This window comes from Homo sapiens, chromosome 16 (genome assembly GCF_000001405.40).
Source record: "Homo sapiens chromosome 16, GRCh38.p14 Primary Assembly".
Taxonomy (NCBI): Eukaryota; Metazoa; Chordata; class Mammalia; order Primates; family Hominidae; genus Homo; species Homo sapiens.
Window position 1 is genome coordinate 2,388,820 of NC_000016.10, and position 17,456 is coordinate 2,406,275.

Here is a 17,456-nt window from a genome sequence, read left to right on the forward strand (position 1 = left end):
GGACTAGGACAGGAGAAGAGAAAGCTGGTAAGAGAGGGAGGGCCCCAAAAGTCTCTGTGCAGGTTCACTTGAATCTGTGGCTGAGGGCTGGGCTGTACAAGAGCAGGCTAAGAGTTCATGGTGCATAGCACAGAGCAGCTACTGTGAGCCTGAGCTGTTGACTCAGCTGTGCTGTTGGCTCTGCTGGGCTGTTGGCTCTGCTGGGCTGTTGACTCAGCTGGGCTGTTGGCTGTGCTGGGCTGTTGACTCAGCTGGGCTGTTGACTCTGCGAGGCTATTGGCTCTGCCTCTTAAATAGTGTGGATACTTCGTTTTTCATGAAAGATGGTTGACATTTGTAGCAGAGCAGCTTCATTTGCCTGCTTCCTGCTTGTAGGAGGTTGACTAGAGGCCACTTTTCACTTTGAACTCTCTCTGTCCCTTTTTGTGTAAGCTGATACAATTTATTTAAATACTTTGTAGGTTTCCTATGTATCACATTATGAAATACAGTTTGTTAGACTATGGCCACACTCACAATATCTTCAACACAAGTCTGTCTACCTTGGGCTGAGAGCCATGGAGATATGGGACAACACTGTTATGATTTTAATTTTTTTTAATTATTTTATTCTATTTTTTTGAGATGGAGCCTCACTCTGTCACCCAGGCTGGAGTGCAGTGGTGTGATCTCGGCTCACTGCAACCTCCAGCTCCTGGGTTCAAGTGATTCTCCCACCTCAGCTTCCCGAGTAGCTGGGATTATGGGCGTGCACCACCACACCCAGCTAAATGTTTGTTCTTTTTTAGTAAAGATGGGATTTCACCATGTTGGCCAGGCTGATCTCAAACTTCTGACCTCAGGTGATCCGCCTGCCTCGGCCTCCCAAAGTGCTGGGATTACAAGCATGAGCCACTGTGCCCAGAACCATTATGGTTTTTAAAAGCTTTTGTCCAGATGATGAGAGTCTGTGAGCAGTGGTATGTGTGCTGCTAAATATTTAGCTATTCTCCATGAAAAAAAGTATGCATATATATGTATATAATTGTATTATAAATTTTACTGATATAAAGAATGTGTAGCACACAATTTACAAATCATGATAAAATATACAGTATTCTTTATTGTAACTTTCATTTAGCCAATTTAGTCTCACAGTACGTTTATGTTGATGTTTGCCAAACTCTCATATTCATAGTCAACTATGGTTGCAGTTCAGCTATTATTTGCCAGATTTTTTTTTTAATGCTAGTCATCATATAATGGCATGACATTCTTTTAAACATTCTAACACTTTCTTGAGTCTAAACAGCCAACAAGACAATTAGTAAGGCCTGATTTGCAGCTTTTGCTGATGTCTGTGGTGTAAATACTCCCACCACAGCCAATTTCATGTTACCAGAGTGAAATTACTGAATGTGGCATTGGGAAGAAATGTTCAGTAACACTCTGTAATATTCCTACCCTAAAGACACAATAGAGTTAAATAACCTCAAGAACATAGATAATAGTATTAAATACAATGGAGTAAAAGAATGAGGAATCAGTGAGTTTTAATTAATACCTTCCCTTTACTGTGATTCGTTAATTTTAAATTTATATAACTTAATTTTTTTAAATGGTTGTAACAACCAGCTCACAGAATTTCTGAAAATTTAACAATTGGCTCTCAAGAGCTTGTATAAGTCAGCTTCAGCACACCACATTTGAGAGGTGCACTTTTAAACCTTTCTGAGGTCTTGACAAAGGACCTTATAGCTGCACAGTTAATCTGATATTTATCCTGAAAAAGTATTTTATTGGCATCATTTTGGCTTTCATTTTAGTTCTGAGAAATTTGAGAACCTTTTCCAAACTGGAAATACTGTCCTGGGCTCTCTCTCTCTCTCTCTCTCTCTCTCTCTGTATATATATATATATATATATATTTTTTTTTTTTTTCTTTTTGAGACAGAGTCTTGCTCTGTCATCCAGGCTGGAGTACAGTGGCATGATTTAGGCTCACTGCAACCTCCGCCTCCCAGCTTCAAGCTATTCTTCTGCCTCAGCCTCCTAAGTAGCTGGGATTACAGGCACCTGCCACCAGGCCTGGCCAATTTTTTGTATTTTTAGTAGATGGAGTTTCGCCACGTTGGCCAAGCTGGTTTCGAACTCCTGATCTCAGGTGACCCACCTGCCTCGGCCTCCTAAAGTGCAGGGATTACAGGCGTGAGCCACCGTGCCTGGCCTTTTTTCTCTAAAATTCTGATGAACATTTGATTATTTCCTTTTTAAATTTATTTCTCTCGTGGTTAAATCATAGGCAGCTATAAGAAACCAGCTGGCACTTTCAACATTATAACTGGAAATCTCCATAGGAACTTATCCACAAGCTCATTAAATACCCTTTCAATCTTTCTTGTTACTGCAGGTAAGAGTGTTGCCAAACCTTCTGCACCAAATAACATGAGAAATAACAATTTCCTCACTGTTCTTCCAGCCTCTGTCTAGAGTTCCCTTGAGGCTCCTCTTGCCTTCATCCTGCTATCTGGTCCCACAGCCATGCCAGATGTTGTAGGTTTTTGTCACAGTGCTTCTGGTGCCAAATTTTGTTTCAGTTGTATACTATATAACAAATTATCCCCAAGTTTTCTGACTTCATATGACAACCATTTTACTGCCGATCATGATTCTGTAGCTTGCCTGGGCTCAGCTGGACAGACATTATGCTCTAAATAATGTTGGCTGGGGCTACAGGTATCTGGGGCCTAGAATGGGTTGGAATATCCGAGATGGTTCATTCTCATGTCTGGGATGATGGTACTGGCTATCAACTGGGAGCTCACTAGGGCTGCTGACTGGTGCACCCAGTACCCCTCCATGTAGGTTCTCGGTGTGGTTTGAGTGTCTCATAGCATGACAGCTGGGTTCCAAGAAGAAGCATCCCAAGAGTGCATGTTTCAAAAGAAAGCAAAGACAGCCACGTCTCTTAAGGCCTGGGCTCAGAAATACCAACACAACACTTCCGTCACATTCTATTGCTCAGAGCAGCCAAAGGGGAGGGGAAGTAAGCACCACTTCTTGATGTGAGATGTGCCATGCTCAATCAGGGAGGGCAGAAATTGTTAGGCCATCTTCTCAGAGTAGCTATGTCACAGAAATAGAGACAGTGCATAATGAGAGTCAGTACACCAGGAAGACCTAACAGTTGTTTATGTGCATGTGCCTCATAACAGAGCTTCAAAATACATAAAGAGAATGTTGACAAAAATAGATGAAGTCAAAATCCCAACCATTTTGGAGATTATGGCACCCTTTCCTCAGTGATTTATAGAGCAAGTAGACAAAAAACTCACTAAGGATATAAAATATTTTGATAATACTGTCATCACACTTACTTCCTGCAGATAGACACTACAGACTACAGCTGCAGAACACCCATTCTCTCCAAATGCCTAGGGGATATTTACCATAATGGATTACTTGGGCCCTCCCCTACCAGCTTCTCCTCTCTTGTCCTAGTCCCACAAAGTCCATACATTTCAGAAGCTCTGTCTTCTCATCTCTACCTTCTCAGCTCAGCAAGTTCACTGCTACACTCTGATTTGCCTTTACTTTTCTGGGCCATGTTCTAGAAAGTGCCCAAGCCAAAGAGCTGGGGCAAATATAGGTCTCTCTTTAGTGTTTCTCTTCTCTCAAGAATCAAACATGGTCCTGGACTTCCTAATGCTTAATATCTGAAATGGCTTCATATATATTTTTGTCCAGTTTTAGTGGGAGGGTATGCTCATGTGAAATAAGTCCAAATAAATTTCAAAAAATTGAAATCGTGGGTTATGATCTCTGACTACAAGGGAATTAAATTAGAAATTGATTACAATAAGATATCTAGATAATTGGCTGGGCGTGGTGGCTCACACCTGTAATCCCAGCACTTTGGGAGGCCAAGGTGGGTGGATCACCTGAGGTCAGGGGTTCGAGACCAGCCCGACCAACATGGTAAAACCCTATCTCTGCTAAAAATACAAAAATTAGCCTGGCATGGTGGCGCGTGCCTGTAATCCCAGCTACTCAGGAGACTGAGGCAAGAGAGTCGCTTCAACCCAGGTGGCGGAGGTTGCAGTGAGCTGAGATCTTACCACCACCCTCCAGCCTGGGTGATAGAGTGAGACTTCATCTCAAAAAAAAAAAAAAAAAAAAAGAGATATCTAAAAAATCCACAAATATTTGAGAGTTAAACAACATACTTCTGAATAACTCATGGGTCAAAGAAAAAGTGGAGGCCGGGCACGGTGGCTCACGCCTGTAATCCCAGCACTTTGGGAGGCCAACGCGGGTGGATCACAAGGTCAAGAGATTGAGACCATCCTGGCCACCATGGTGAAACCCCGTCTCTACTAAAAATGCAAAAATTAGCTGGGCGTGGTGGCGTGTGCCTGTAGTCCCACCTACTCAGGAGGCTGAGGCGGGAGAATTGCTTGAACCCAGGAGGCAGAGGTTGCAGTGAGCCGAGATTGCGCCACTGCACTCCAGCCTGGCAACAGAGTGAGACTCCATCTCAAAAAAAAAAAGAAAAAAAAAGTGGAAAATATTTTTAACTGAATGATGATGAAAATACAATGTATCAAAAATTTTCAGATGCTACTGAGGCAGTGCTTAGAAATATATAGCTTTTAAAAACTTACATTTGAAAAGAAAAGGGGCTTAAAATCATTTACCTGTTTCCAACGGAAAAGGTAGGAAAAGAAGAGAAAATTAAACCCAGATTATGTGGAAGAGAAGAAATGAAAAATATAGGGGGAGAAAATAATGTAATAAGAAACAAAAAGAAAATTGAGAAAGGCCAAAATGCTAAAAAGCTAAAAAGCAAAAAGTTATTTTAAAAGATTAATAAAATTGATAAATTATATTGATAAACCATTAAATGATAAACCATTAATTCCAAGACCATTAAAGAAAAAAAGAAAATTAACTAGCACCAGTAAGGAAAGTACTGCTATAGTTACAGAGCCTAGAGTTACAAAAAGGATAATAATAAAATATCACATGTAAATAAATTGGACACTTTAGGTAAAATGGACTGATTTCTTAAACAATGCAATTTACCAAAACTTACAAAATGAAGCAGAAAAATCTGAATAACCATATATCTATTCATGAAATTGAATTTGCAATCAAAAGTATTCCCAAAAAGAGAACTCCAGATTCTATGAAACATTGAAGAAAAAAATAATCTCAATCTTTTAGAAAATAGAGAAGGAAACACTTCCCAACTCATTTTAAGGCCAGCACAACCCTGATACCAAAACCTGGAAAAGTCCCTATGACAACAGGAAATTATAGACTAATATCCTCATGGGCATAGACATAAAAGCCTTTAACAAAACACAAGTTGGGGAGTGGACTTATCTGGAGGCTTTGTTCACATGTCTGTGCCTTGGCATGGATTCAGCCTGGTTTCAAGGTAGTGAGGCATCTTACCTGGTGGCTTGGGGCTCCCAAAGAAATCAAGATACCTGAAGGCTTCTTCTACCCAACATCCATTACTTGCATTGCATCCTCTCAGTCAAGCAAGACACTAAGGCCAGCCCAGATAAAAGGGAATTAAAGGCCACCTCTCAGTGGGAAAAGTAGCAAAGAATTTGTAGCTATCATTTATCTACTGTGTTATTCAAGATAAATGAAAACATATGTCCAGACACAGGACACATAGAAGAACATTTATAGCTGCTTTATGCATAAGCATCCTTACACAGGAACAATTCAAATGTCTATCAACAGGAGAATAGATATATTCCTTTTGTTGAATGCTGCTCTGCAATTTACGAGAATGAACTAATGCATGCAACACGGTTTAACCTCAAAAACATGTTACATGGATGAAGCAAGAGATGAAAAGACCATATGATTCCATTTACATGAAGAGCAAGAAGAAGTAAAACTAATGTAAAATTTAGGACATTTGGTTGTCTGAGGGCAAGAGAGGGACTCATCAAAGGGGACATGGGGGCATTTTCTAGGGTGATGGAATGTTCGGTGTCTTGATTAGGGTGATATTACACATTTGTCAAAACTCATCAAACTATACATGTAAGAACAAGATAGTTTACCTAAATTCTGCCTCAATATTTTAAAATGGTTACTGTGATCTTGTTGGCAAGACAGTAGCAATAGCATGAGTACAATTTCAGTAACTGGAAACTGAATGAAGAGCAAGATAGTGAACATACTGAGGGTGTGACTGTTGATCATATTCAGTAAATAGTATTTGCTGAATATTTAACACAGGGGGGCTACTTTGCTAAGCATCTTTACATTTTTCTCAATCCTTACAACTTTTTGAATTAGGTAATATCTGTCTTACAGGTGAGGGAAGATTTGGAAAGGTGAAACAACTAGCTCAAAGTCACAAAACTTGTAAGTGACAGAGTCTAGACTCAAACCCAGCCATGATTAGTTTATAACCATTGTCTGCTCACAGGGACACACACAAAGCCCCTGCAGACCTCGTATAGGCATCTGGCATATGTGTCTGGTTTCTTAAAAGTTGGACACTAGGTTGTGAGAGAATAGAAGCCTTCATTATAGAACATTATGATGGATTTCTTAATATCACAAACAAAAGCCATGATTGTTTTAATTTAAAAAAAATGGAAAGCATGTTTGAGAAAGGTTTTAACATTAGCAGGCTAAAAGAATTATCTCCTTTCCTCGCTTAAATAACAATTAAAACCACTCTCTCTGGAGACGAAAGGCCTGAGCTTGAGTCCTGGCTCTTCTGCTTCTGGCTGTGTGGCCTCAGGGAAGTTTCTTAACTTCTCAGCACTGTCCTCAAAGAGCTGTTGAAAGCATCCACAGACCTTAATACAGAGTTAATAGGTAAAAAACTGTGAAGGGCCCCTGACATTCACATAGTTATAAAGCTAATGACAAAGCTGGTGTTTGAAAAAATACGTTCCTGACTCCAAAGTCCATGCTTTTTCCCCAGTAGAGAGCCAAGGGCAGTGATGAAAGGGATTCACCTTACACCTTTCAGGACTAAAACCATTTCTTTCCTTCCAGGTTTGAATCTCTATTTACTGACTTGGAACTGAGGCAGGTAGAGCTGGGCATCTCCAGCTTTGGGGCCTCTGTCATGACCATGGAGGATGTCTTCATAAGGTAAGCACGTATAAAACTGTAAGACTCCAAGGTTCTTAGGGTTGGAAGGGATCTTAAAGGTCATCTGTCTAAACATTGCCTGATGCTTGAATCTTTTCTGTAGCAACCTCACTGAATGGCCTTCCAGCCTCTGACTAGTACTTCCAATAACAGGGATACCTGAATCTTGGCTCACTGCAGCCTCTGCATCCCAGGTTCAAGCAATTCTCCTGCCTCAGCCTCCTGAGTAGCTGGGGCTACAGGCGCCTGCCACCACACCCAACTGATTTTTGTACTTTTAGTACAGATGAGGTTTCACTATGTTGGCCAGGCTGGTCTCAAACTCCCGACCTCAAGTGATCTGCCTGCCTCAACCTTCCAAAGTGCCTGAGATTACAGGTAACTTTTGTATTTTTAGTAGAGATGGGGATTCACCATGTTGGCCAGGCTGGTCTCGATCTCCTGACCTCAAGTGATCCACCCACCTTGGCCTCCCAAAGTGCTGGGATTACAGGTATGAGCCATTGCACCTGGTCTTTAAACAAATTTTATTGATCCATAATGTGCATATGTCTGGGATACATGTGATATTTTGATACATGCATATTCTACTTGAGACTTGATTGATGTCTGGCTATGGAAATCTTCCATGAGTTTAGAATCCCCAGCTATTATTATCTGTTCATACAGGGCCTCTGCTCAAATATCTCCTCTCGTTTTGGAACTCCAATTAGACATATTAGATCTTATCACTCTACTATGTGAATTTTAACTTTTTAAATATTTTCCAACTCTTTGTCTCTCTGAGCTGCACTCTACATAATATCTTCTGATCTACATCCAGGTCGTTGATTCTCTCTGCAGATGTTTCTGATCTTCAGCTAAACACTTCCATTGAGAGTATTTTCTTTTTTGTGGAGATGAGGTCTCATTATGTTGACCAGGCTGGTCTCAAACTCCTAGGCTCAAGCTATCCACCCCCTTGGCCTCCCAAAGTGCTGGGATTACAGGCATGAGCCACTACACACAGCCAGTTTTTTAAATACTTACATTTTTGTTGAAGTATAACATATATACCAAAAGGTATGCAATTATTAAACCTGTAGCTCAGTTTTCATTTTTTGAGTTTTTGAAATTTTTGTATATTCTAGATATAAATCTTTGTCAGATACGTGTTTTATCTACATTTTCTTCCAGTATGTGGCTTGCTTCTTAATATTCTTAGTGGTAGCTTTTTATTTTATTTTTTTGAGACAGGGTCACACTCTGTCACCTCGGCTGGAGTACACTGGCATGATCTTGGCTCACTGCAACTTCCGCCGTCTAGGTTCAAGGGATTCCCCTGCCTCAGCCTCCCGAGTAGCTGGGACTACAGGTGCACGCCACCACGCCCAGCTAACTTTTTGTATTTTGGTAGAGACGGGGTTTCACCATGTTGGCCAGGTTGGTCTCAAACTCCTGACCTCAGGTGATCTGCCCACCTTGGCCTCCCAAAGTGCTGGGATTACAGGCGTAAGCCACCATGCCTGGCCCCTAAATTTTTTTTATAGTTACTGTGTTCTGTATCCTTTCTAAAAAATATTTCCCTACCCTTAGGTCACAAAGTCATGCTTCTACTTTTTGTTCTAGGAATTTTATCATTTTAGCTTTTACATTAGGTCTGTGACCCATTTTCTATTAATTTTTGTGTATGGTTGTGTGTGTGTGTGTGTGTGTGTGTGTGTGTGTGTGTGTATGCAAGACAAGGTCTCACTCTGTCACCCAGGCTGGAGTGCAGTGGTGTGATCACAGCTCACTGCAGTCTCCAGCTCCTGAGCTTAAGTGATCCCACCTCAGCCTCCCAAGTAGGTGGGACTACAGATGCACACCACGCCTGGCTAGGTTTTTTATATTTTGTAGAGACGAGGTCTTGCAATATTGCCCAGGCTGGTCTCTAACTCCTGGGCTCAAGCAATCTTCCCACCTCGGCTTCCCAAAGTGTTGGGATTATAGGCGTGAGCCACAGTGCCCAGCCTTGTGTACGGTTTGATAAGAGGTGAAATGGAAAAACATACACTGTTTTTCTTCTGCTCTCACATCACAGCAATCAACACAGAAGACTTCTATGACAAAATGTGTGGGAATTTCCCGCCAACAGCAAGCAAGCAATCAGTTCTGCAGCAGACACCAGCTAAGTGTCCTCCAATTCAATTCTGACACTATTTGGAGATAGCATCAGATCCCACAGGTCGAGGGCTAGGTTCCACAAGACTTCTCACTTCCAGTGTCAATCACAAGCCCCAGGTTGTTTTACCTGTCCTTTATTTATTTATTTATTTATTTATTTATTTATTTTAAGAGACAAGGCCTCACTATGTTGCTCAGGCTGGTCTCTATCTCTTGGGCTGGGCTCAAGTGATCCTCCTGCCTCAGCTTCCTGAGTAGCTGGGATTACAGGGTTAGCTACCACACACTTACCTGTACTTCTGACCGACCAGCTGTAAACTAGCGATCCTATTACCCCCTCCTTAGGTTCAATTAATTTGCTAAAGTGGCTCACAGAACGCAGGGAAACACATTTCCCAGTTTATTATAAGGATAGTACAAAGGATACAGAAGAAGAGACGCATAGGGTGAGGTATGTGGGAAAGGGTATGGAGCCTCTGTGGCCTCCCCGGGTGTGACACCCTCCAGGAACCTCCAATTGTTCACCTATCTGGAAGCTCCTCTTGGGCCTTCTATGGAGACTTCATTGGATAGGCATGACTAAAGCATGGACAGCTGTGTAGAAATGAGACTGGACAAAAAGAGTATGATGTAATACTAACAGTCTGAGTGGGGAAACGCAGCAAGGCCTGTCTGTTCAGATCCTTCCTGGCCTCTCTGTGCAGCGTTCTTTCCCCCAGGGTATGGTATAGGACACCTTCTAAAACGGGGAGGTCTTATGACCTACAATCAGGCAAGATGGGTCAGAGAATTTCTTTATGGCCAGCTCCAAGACAGAAAGATGCAGGAAGATTATATTTTTAGTTTCTGTGGACTGCCTTGGGGAGAAATAACAGCTACACGAGTTACGGGCCAGGAACTATGAACGAAAACATATTTTATTGACCCGTGTGATATAATGATACCACTGCCTCGTGATAATGATATATCACAGGGGTTGAGGCTCATTTTCTTTCACATAAGTATCCAGATGGGACAGACTATTTGTTGAAAAGACTTTTTTTTCCACATTGAGTTGTTCAGATGCCTTAACCAAAAATCAGTTGACTGTATGTCTCTACATTCCCTCTTCTGTTTCATTGATCTGTTTGTCTGTCCTGTGCTAGTACTGCATTGTTGAGATTGCTGTAGCTTTGCAGTATATCTTAAAGTCAGGTAGTATATTGTTCTCCCAGCTTTATTCTGTTTTTTCTTTTTTTTTTTTTTTTATTGATCATTCTTGGGTGTTTCTCGCAGAGGGGGATTTGGCAGGGTCACAGGACAATAGTGGAGGGAAGGTCAGCAGATAAACAAGTGAACAAAGGTCTCTGGTTTTCCTAGGCAGAGGACCCTGCGGCCTTCCGCAGTGTTTGTGTCCCTGGGTACTTGAGATTAGGGAGTGGTGATGACTCTTAAGGAGCATGCTGCCTTCAAGCATCTGTTTAACAAAGCACATCTTGCACCGCCCTTAATCCATTCAACCCTGAGTGGACACAGCACATGTTTCAGCGAGCACAGGGTTGGGGGTAAGGTCACAGATCAACAGGATCCCAAGGCAGAAGAATTTTTCTTAGTACAGAACAAAATGAAAAGTCTCCCATGTCTACCTCTTTCTACACAGACACGGCAACCATCCGATTTCTCAATCTTTTCCCCACCTTTCCCGCCTTTCTATTCCACAAAACCGCCATTGTCATCATGGCCCGTTCTCAATGAGCTCTTGGGTACATCTCCCAGACGGGGTGGTGGCCGGGCAGAGGGGCTCCTCACTTCCCAGTAGGGCCAGCCGGGCAGAGGCGCCCCTCACCTCCCGGACGGGGCGGCTGGCCGGGCGGGGGGCTGACCCCCCCACCTCCCTCCCGGACGAGGTGGCTGCCGGGCGGAGACACTCCTCACTTCCCAGACGGGGTGGCTGCTGGGCGGAGGGGCTCCTCACTTCTCGGACGGGGCGGTTGCCAGGCAGAGGGTCTCCTCACTTCTCAGACGGGGCGGCCGGGCAGAGATGCTCCTCACATCCCGGACGAGGTGGCAGGGCAGAGGTGCTCCCCACATCTCAGACAATGGGCGGCCGGGCAGAGACGCTCCTCACTTCCTAGATGGGATGGCGGCCGGGAAGAGGCGCTCCTCACTTCCTAGATGGGATGGCGGCTGGGCAGAGACGCTCCTCACTTTCCAGACTGGGCAGCCAGGCAGAGGGGCTCCTCACATCCCAGATGATGGGCGGCCAGGCGGAGACGCTCCTCACTTCCCAGACGGGGTGGCGGCCGGGCAGAGGCTGCAATCTCGGCACTTTGGGGGGCCAAGGCAGGCGGCTGGGAGGTGGAGATTGTAGCGAGCTGAGATCACGCCACTGCACTCCAGCCTGGGCACCACTGAGCACTGAGTGAACCAGACTCCGTCTGCAATCCCGGCACCTCGGGAGGCCGAGGCTGGCGGATCACTCCCGGTTAGGAGCTGGAGACCAGCCCGGCCAACACAGCGAAACCCCGTCTCCACCAAAAAAATACGAAAACCCGTCAGGCATGGCGGCGCGCGCCTGCAATCGCAGGCACTCGGCAGGCTGAGGCAGGAGAACCAGGCAGGGAGGTTGCAGTGAGCCGAGATGGCAGCAGTACAGTCCAGCTTCGGCTCGGCATGAGAGGGAGACCCTGGAAAGAGAGGGAGAGGGAGACCGTGGGGAGGGGGAGGAGGAGGGAGAGGGAGAGGGAGAGGGAGAGCGAGAGCGAGAGCGAGAGCTCAACCCCTACATTTTACAGATGGGAAAACTGAGACCCTATTCTGTTTGTTGAAGATTGTTTTGGGTATTGTAGATCCTTGACATTATCATGTAAATTTTAAAATAAACTTATCAATTTCTTAAAAAAAAAAAAAAAAGAACCTGATGGAAATGCTGTTTCATTTGTAACGATGTACCACCCTAATGCAAGATGTTAAAAACAGGGAAATGGGGCTGGGCACTGTGGCTCACACCTGTAATAACAGCATTTTGGGAGGCCGAGGCGGGCAGATCACCTGAGGTCAAGAAATTGAGACCATCCTGGCCAACATGGTGAAACCCTGTCTCTATTAAAAATACAAAAATTAGCTGGGCGTGGTGTCTCACGCGTGTAATCCTAGCTACTCAGGAGGCTGAGGCAGGAGAATCGCTTGAACCCAGGAGGCGGAGGTTGCAGTGAGCCAAAATTGCACCATTGCACTCCAGCCTGGCAACAGAGAGAGACTCCGTCTAAAAAAGAAAAAAAAAAAATAGGGAAATGAGGGTGGGAGATGTGTATATAGGAAACTCTCTGAACTTTCTGCTCATGGAGGTAGATGCCCCAGCCCCAGTCAAGCCTTCAAGGGACTGCAGCCCTGGCTAATAGCTTAACCGCAGCCTCATGAGAAATCTTAATATAGAAACACCTAGCTAAGCCACTCTCAAATTCTAGACCCCCAGAAACTGTGTGAGATAATAACTTTTACTGTTGTTTTAAGCTACTAACTTTTGGGATAATCTGTGTCACAGCATTAGATAACAAATACACCATGTTTTACAGAACCATACTGAAGGAAAAAAGTCAATTTCCTGGGTTATTTTGGTGTGACAAATTCTTAGTAGAATGATGGCCCAAAGCCTTTGACTAGAAATAGTTTCCTGGCACATTGACACTTTGCTGCCAACCAAACACATCTTTTTGCCTAGAGCAGGGGTCAGCAGACTTTTTCTTAAAGGGCCACACAGCCGGGCGCGGTAGCTCACGCCCGTAATCCTAGCACTTTGGGAGACCAAGGTGGGCAGATCACGAGGTCAAGAGATCGAGACCATCCTGGCCAACATGGTGAAACCCCGTCTCTACTAAAAATACAAAAATTAGCTGGGTGTGGTGGCCTGCACCTGTAGTCCCAGCTACTCCGGAGGCTGAGGCAGGAGAATTGCTTGAACCTGGAAGGCAGAAGTTGCAGTAGGCTGAGATAGGGCCACTGCATTCCAGCTTGGCAACAGAGTGAGACTATGTCTAAAAAAAAGGACCACATAGTAACTATTTTATGCTATGTAGGCTTAGCAGCATAATCAAGGATATTATGTAAGTAATTATATAACTAGTTCCAGGCCAGATACAGTGGCCCATGCCTGCAGTCCCAGCTACTTGGGAGGCTGAGGCAAGAGGATCCCTTGAGCCCAGGAATTTGAGGCGGCCATGAGCCATGATCACCACTGAAATCCAGCCTGGGCAACAAAGTAAGACCCAGGCTCTATTATTTAAGTGTGTGTGTGTGCATACACACACATACTATATACTATTTATATATATATATATGATTATATATACTTACATATATACACTGTAAATGTATATATAATATGTATATATACACGTGTGTGTATATATACATATGTAGTATGTGTATATATATAGTATGTGCGTGTATATATACATATGTAGTATGTGTATATATATAGTATGTGCGTGTATATATACACATATTAGTATATATATTTTACATATATATTACATTTTATTATATAGTACATATATACTTTACATTATACACATATATAGTGTGTGTGTATAGTATATATACACTTTACATACACATATTAGTGTGTGTGTGTATATATACAAATACTTTAAATATATTTGTGTATGTACATACCTACGCACACATATTGGTTAGTTAACTCAATACTTGGGACTTATTTAAGACTTTGCGGCCAGGCGCAGTGGCTTATGCCTGTAATCCTAGCACTTTGGGAGGCCAAGACGGGCAGATCATGAGGTCAGGAGATCAAGACCATCCTGGCTAACACGGTGAAACCCTGTCTCTACTAAAAAATAGAAAAATAAAATTAGCCGGGCGTGGTGGCGGGTGCCTGTAGTCCCAGCTACTCGGGAGGCTGAGGCAGGAGAATGGCATGAACCCGGGAGGCAGAGCTTGCAGTGAGCCAAGATCACGCCACTGCACTCCAGCCTGGGTGACAGAGCGAGACTGCGTCTCAAAAAAAAAAGAAAAGACTTTGCTAGACAGTTTGTAGCCAGTATATACTATATATATATATACACATGCACACACACATACACACACAAGTATATATTTGTATATGTGTGTTTCAATGTTTATGGTTATGTTAGATCATTATATAATTACATAATATCCTTGATTATGCTGCTAAGCCTACATAGTGTAAATATAACATATATATAGCTCAGAATCAACCATAGTTCATTCTGAACTCAGAATCTCTTGGGCTGGATATGGCCCACTGGCCATTGTTTACCAATTCCTGGCCTAGAGTCTCAACAGAACTCTGTTTTATAATTTTCAGTTTTGCTTATGAAATAGATATTAAATAATGTATCATTTTGTTTTAATTTGCATATAGAATCTTTTAGGGAAAATGACAAAATCTATTCATACTAGTGTTGCCTCAGTTATTTGGAAAAGCCATTGGTTAGTTAACTCAATACTTAGGACTTATTAAGACCTTGCTATCCTGTTTATAGCCAGTATATACTTGCTACCCACTATATATAATCTAGATGCAGCTTTTTTTCCTCATTATTCTTATCCTTTTTTTTTTTTTTGAGACGGAGTCTTGCTCTGTGGCCCAGGCTGGAGTGCAGTGACACAATCTTGGCTCACTGCAACCTCCGCCTCCTGGGTTCATGCCATTCTCCTGCCTCAGCCTCCTCAGTAGCTGGGATTACTGGCACCCGCCACCATGCTTGGCTAATTTTTTTGTATTTTTAGTAGAGACAGGGTTTCACCATGTTAGCCAGGATGGTCTCAATCTCCTGACCTCGTGATCCGCCCGCCTCGGCCTCCCAAAGTGCTGGGATTACAGGAGTGAGCCACCACGCCTGGCCCATTATTCTTATCCTAACTTAGTTTTTTCAAATATCATATTACTTTCATTCTTTAAATCCAAACAAAATGAACTTTGCCATGATTTTAAGAATTTGTTTTTGCTTTTGGTTTGGTTTAGGGTTTGTATGTTGGCAGATGCCAGTACAGCTGTCCCAAACATCAAACATCCCTCTATCCATCCCCAGCCCTGCTTAGCAGAATTCCTGTTGACAGAATTAAACATCTTCATTCGAGGACCTTCTCAATACGGACTGGGCTGCCAATCAAACCAAACACTGGGGTAAATAACTGTTCAAAATGTATGCAAGAAAGCACATATTGGTTTAATTCTTGGAAATATACTGTCATTCTGTCAAGAAGTTACATCAGCCTTTTACAGGGTTTTAAGAAAAAACGTGCACATTTTAAGCATAAAAGATTGGCTGTGCCAGGTTTTGACACTATCACAGTCTCTGCTGTAGTTCAAAGGCGAAGGGTGATGGTCTGGATAGGATTAACCCAGTGTAAGAAGGGATCATAGAAGATTATAGTAGAGGTCTTGGCCATTCCTCTGACCAGGAAGAAGATAGAATAAAAGTACTAAATCTGCTAGCCAAAAAGCATGTATCTTTCACTATGAAACAGATCATCTATTATATCACTTGGAATTTAAAATTTTTAAAAATACATCCTTATGAAATATATGGACAACCTGTAATGTTCTTTTAATGTTGAAAAAAGGATATTGGGCTGGGCATGGTGTCTTATACCTGTAATCCCAGCACTTTGGGAGGCTGAGGTGAGTGGATAACCTGAGGTCAGGAATTCGAGACCAGCCTGGCTAACATGGTGATACCCTGTCTCTACTAAAAAAAAAAAAAAAAAAAAAAAAAAATATATATATATATATATATATATATATATATATATATATATATATATATATATATATAAATTAGCCTGGCATAGTGGTGGGTGCCTGTAATCCTAGCTACTCGGGAGGCTGAGGCAGGAGAATTACTTGAACCCTGGAGGCAGAGGTTACAGTGACAGTGAGCCAAGGCTCTAGCCTGGGCGACAAGAGCAAGACTCCATCTTAAAAAAAAAAAAAAAAGGAATATTGGTTTGTGGCCGGGCACAGTGGCTCATGCCTGTAATTCCAGCACTTTGGGAGGCTGAGGCAGGCAGATCACCTGAGGTCGGGAGTTTGAGACCAGCCTGACCAACATGGAGAAACCCCGTCTCTACTAAAAATAAAAAATTAGTTGGGTGTGGTGGCACATGCCTGTAATCTCAGCTACTTGGGAGGCTGAGGCAGGGGAATTGCTTGAACCTGGGAGGCGGAGGTTGCAGTGAGCCGAGATCGTGCCATTGCACTCCAGCCTGGGCAATGAGAGCAAAATTCCGTCTGAAAAAAAAAAAAAAAGAAATATCGAGGTTCATTTTATGAAGTGTTCTTGATTTAGCTATCCACAAGTATTAATGTAAAATAAGACTGACTTTTGTGAGTTAGTCAAGAGATTAACTTTATTGTTTCATAACCTTGAATCACACAATTACTAGGAAGCTGTCATCCACTGAGCCTCCAAGTTGGGAAAGGTCTTGGGGTCAACTAAGTCAGCCACCTGTCTCATACAGGAGGCAAAATAAGACCCCATCTCTTCAAAAAATAAAAAATTAGCCAGGCACGGTGGTGCACGCCTCTAGTCCCAGCTACTAGGGAGGCTGAGGCAGAAGGATCACTTGAGCCCAGGAGGTCAAGGCTTCAGTGAGCCAAGATCACACCACTGCCCTCCAGCCTGGCTGACAGAGTCAGACCTGGTCTCAAAACAAAACAAAACAAAACAAAAATCATAAGTTCAAAGAGTTCTGGCCGGGCGTGGTGGCTCACGCCAGTAATCCCACCCAACACTTTGGGAGGCCAAGGCAGGTGGATCATGAGGTCAGGAGATGAGGTCAGGCTGATATGGTGAAACCCCATCTCTACTAAAAATAAAAATTAAAAAAATTAGCCGGGCATGGTGGAAGGCGCCTGTTGTCCCTCAGCTACTTGGGAGGCTGAGGCAGAATGGCGTGAACCTGGGAGGAGGAGCTTGCAGTGAGTCAAGATTGCACCATTGCACTCCAGCCTGGGCGACAGAGTGAGACTCCGTCTGAAAAAAAAAAAAAAAGACTTCTAACTTGAAGCAAATTTTGAATATAATTGAAAAATTAAGGCCGGGAGCAGTGGCTCACGCCTATAATCCCAGCACTTTGGGAGGCCACGCCTGTAATCCCAACACTTTGGGAGGCTGAGGCGGGTGGATCACGAGGTCAGGAGATCAAGGCCATCCTAACTAACACGGTGA

The 17,456-nt window shown here is 43.2% G+C and overlaps 1 pseudogene across 1 annotated transcript in view, besides 2 other annotated features; it reads left to right on the forward strand.

Moving 5' to 3' along the window:
* The window catches only part of ABCA17P (ATP binding cassette subfamily A member 17, pseudogene), an 85,778-nt pseudogene that overhangs the window by 47,898 nt on the left and 20,424 nt on the right, over nucleotides 1-17,456 (forward strand). Inside the window, exons 9-10 of the transcript NR_003574.1 lie at nucleotides 7,021-7,119; nucleotides 15,248-15,409. The product of NR_003574.1 is annotated as an ATP binding cassette subfamily A member 17, pseudogene (transcript). The remainder of the gene's footprint in view (nucleotides 1-7,020; nucleotides 7,120-15,247; nucleotides 15,410-17,456) is intronic.
* Nucleotides 29-323: an enhancer, noted in NCBI's record as "tiled region #3130; HepG2 Activating DNase matched - State 8:EnhW". NCBI's record gives its function as "activates a minimal TATA promoter and a strong SV40 promoter by Sharpr-MPRA in HepG2 cells {active_cell/tissue: HepG2}" and the evidence as "EXISTENCE:reporter gene assay evidence [ECO:0000049][PMID:27701403]".
* Nucleotides 11,538-12,285: an enhancer, noted in NCBI's record as "H3K27ac-H3K4me1 hESC enhancer chr16:2450358-2451105 (GRCh37/hg19 assembly coordinates)". NCBI's record gives its function as "activates a minimal SCP1, AML or CMV promoter by ChIP-STARR-seq in naive H9 embryonic stem cells {active_cell/tissue: H9 hESC(naive)}" and the evidence as "EXISTENCE:reporter gene assay evidence [ECO:0000049][PMID:30033119]".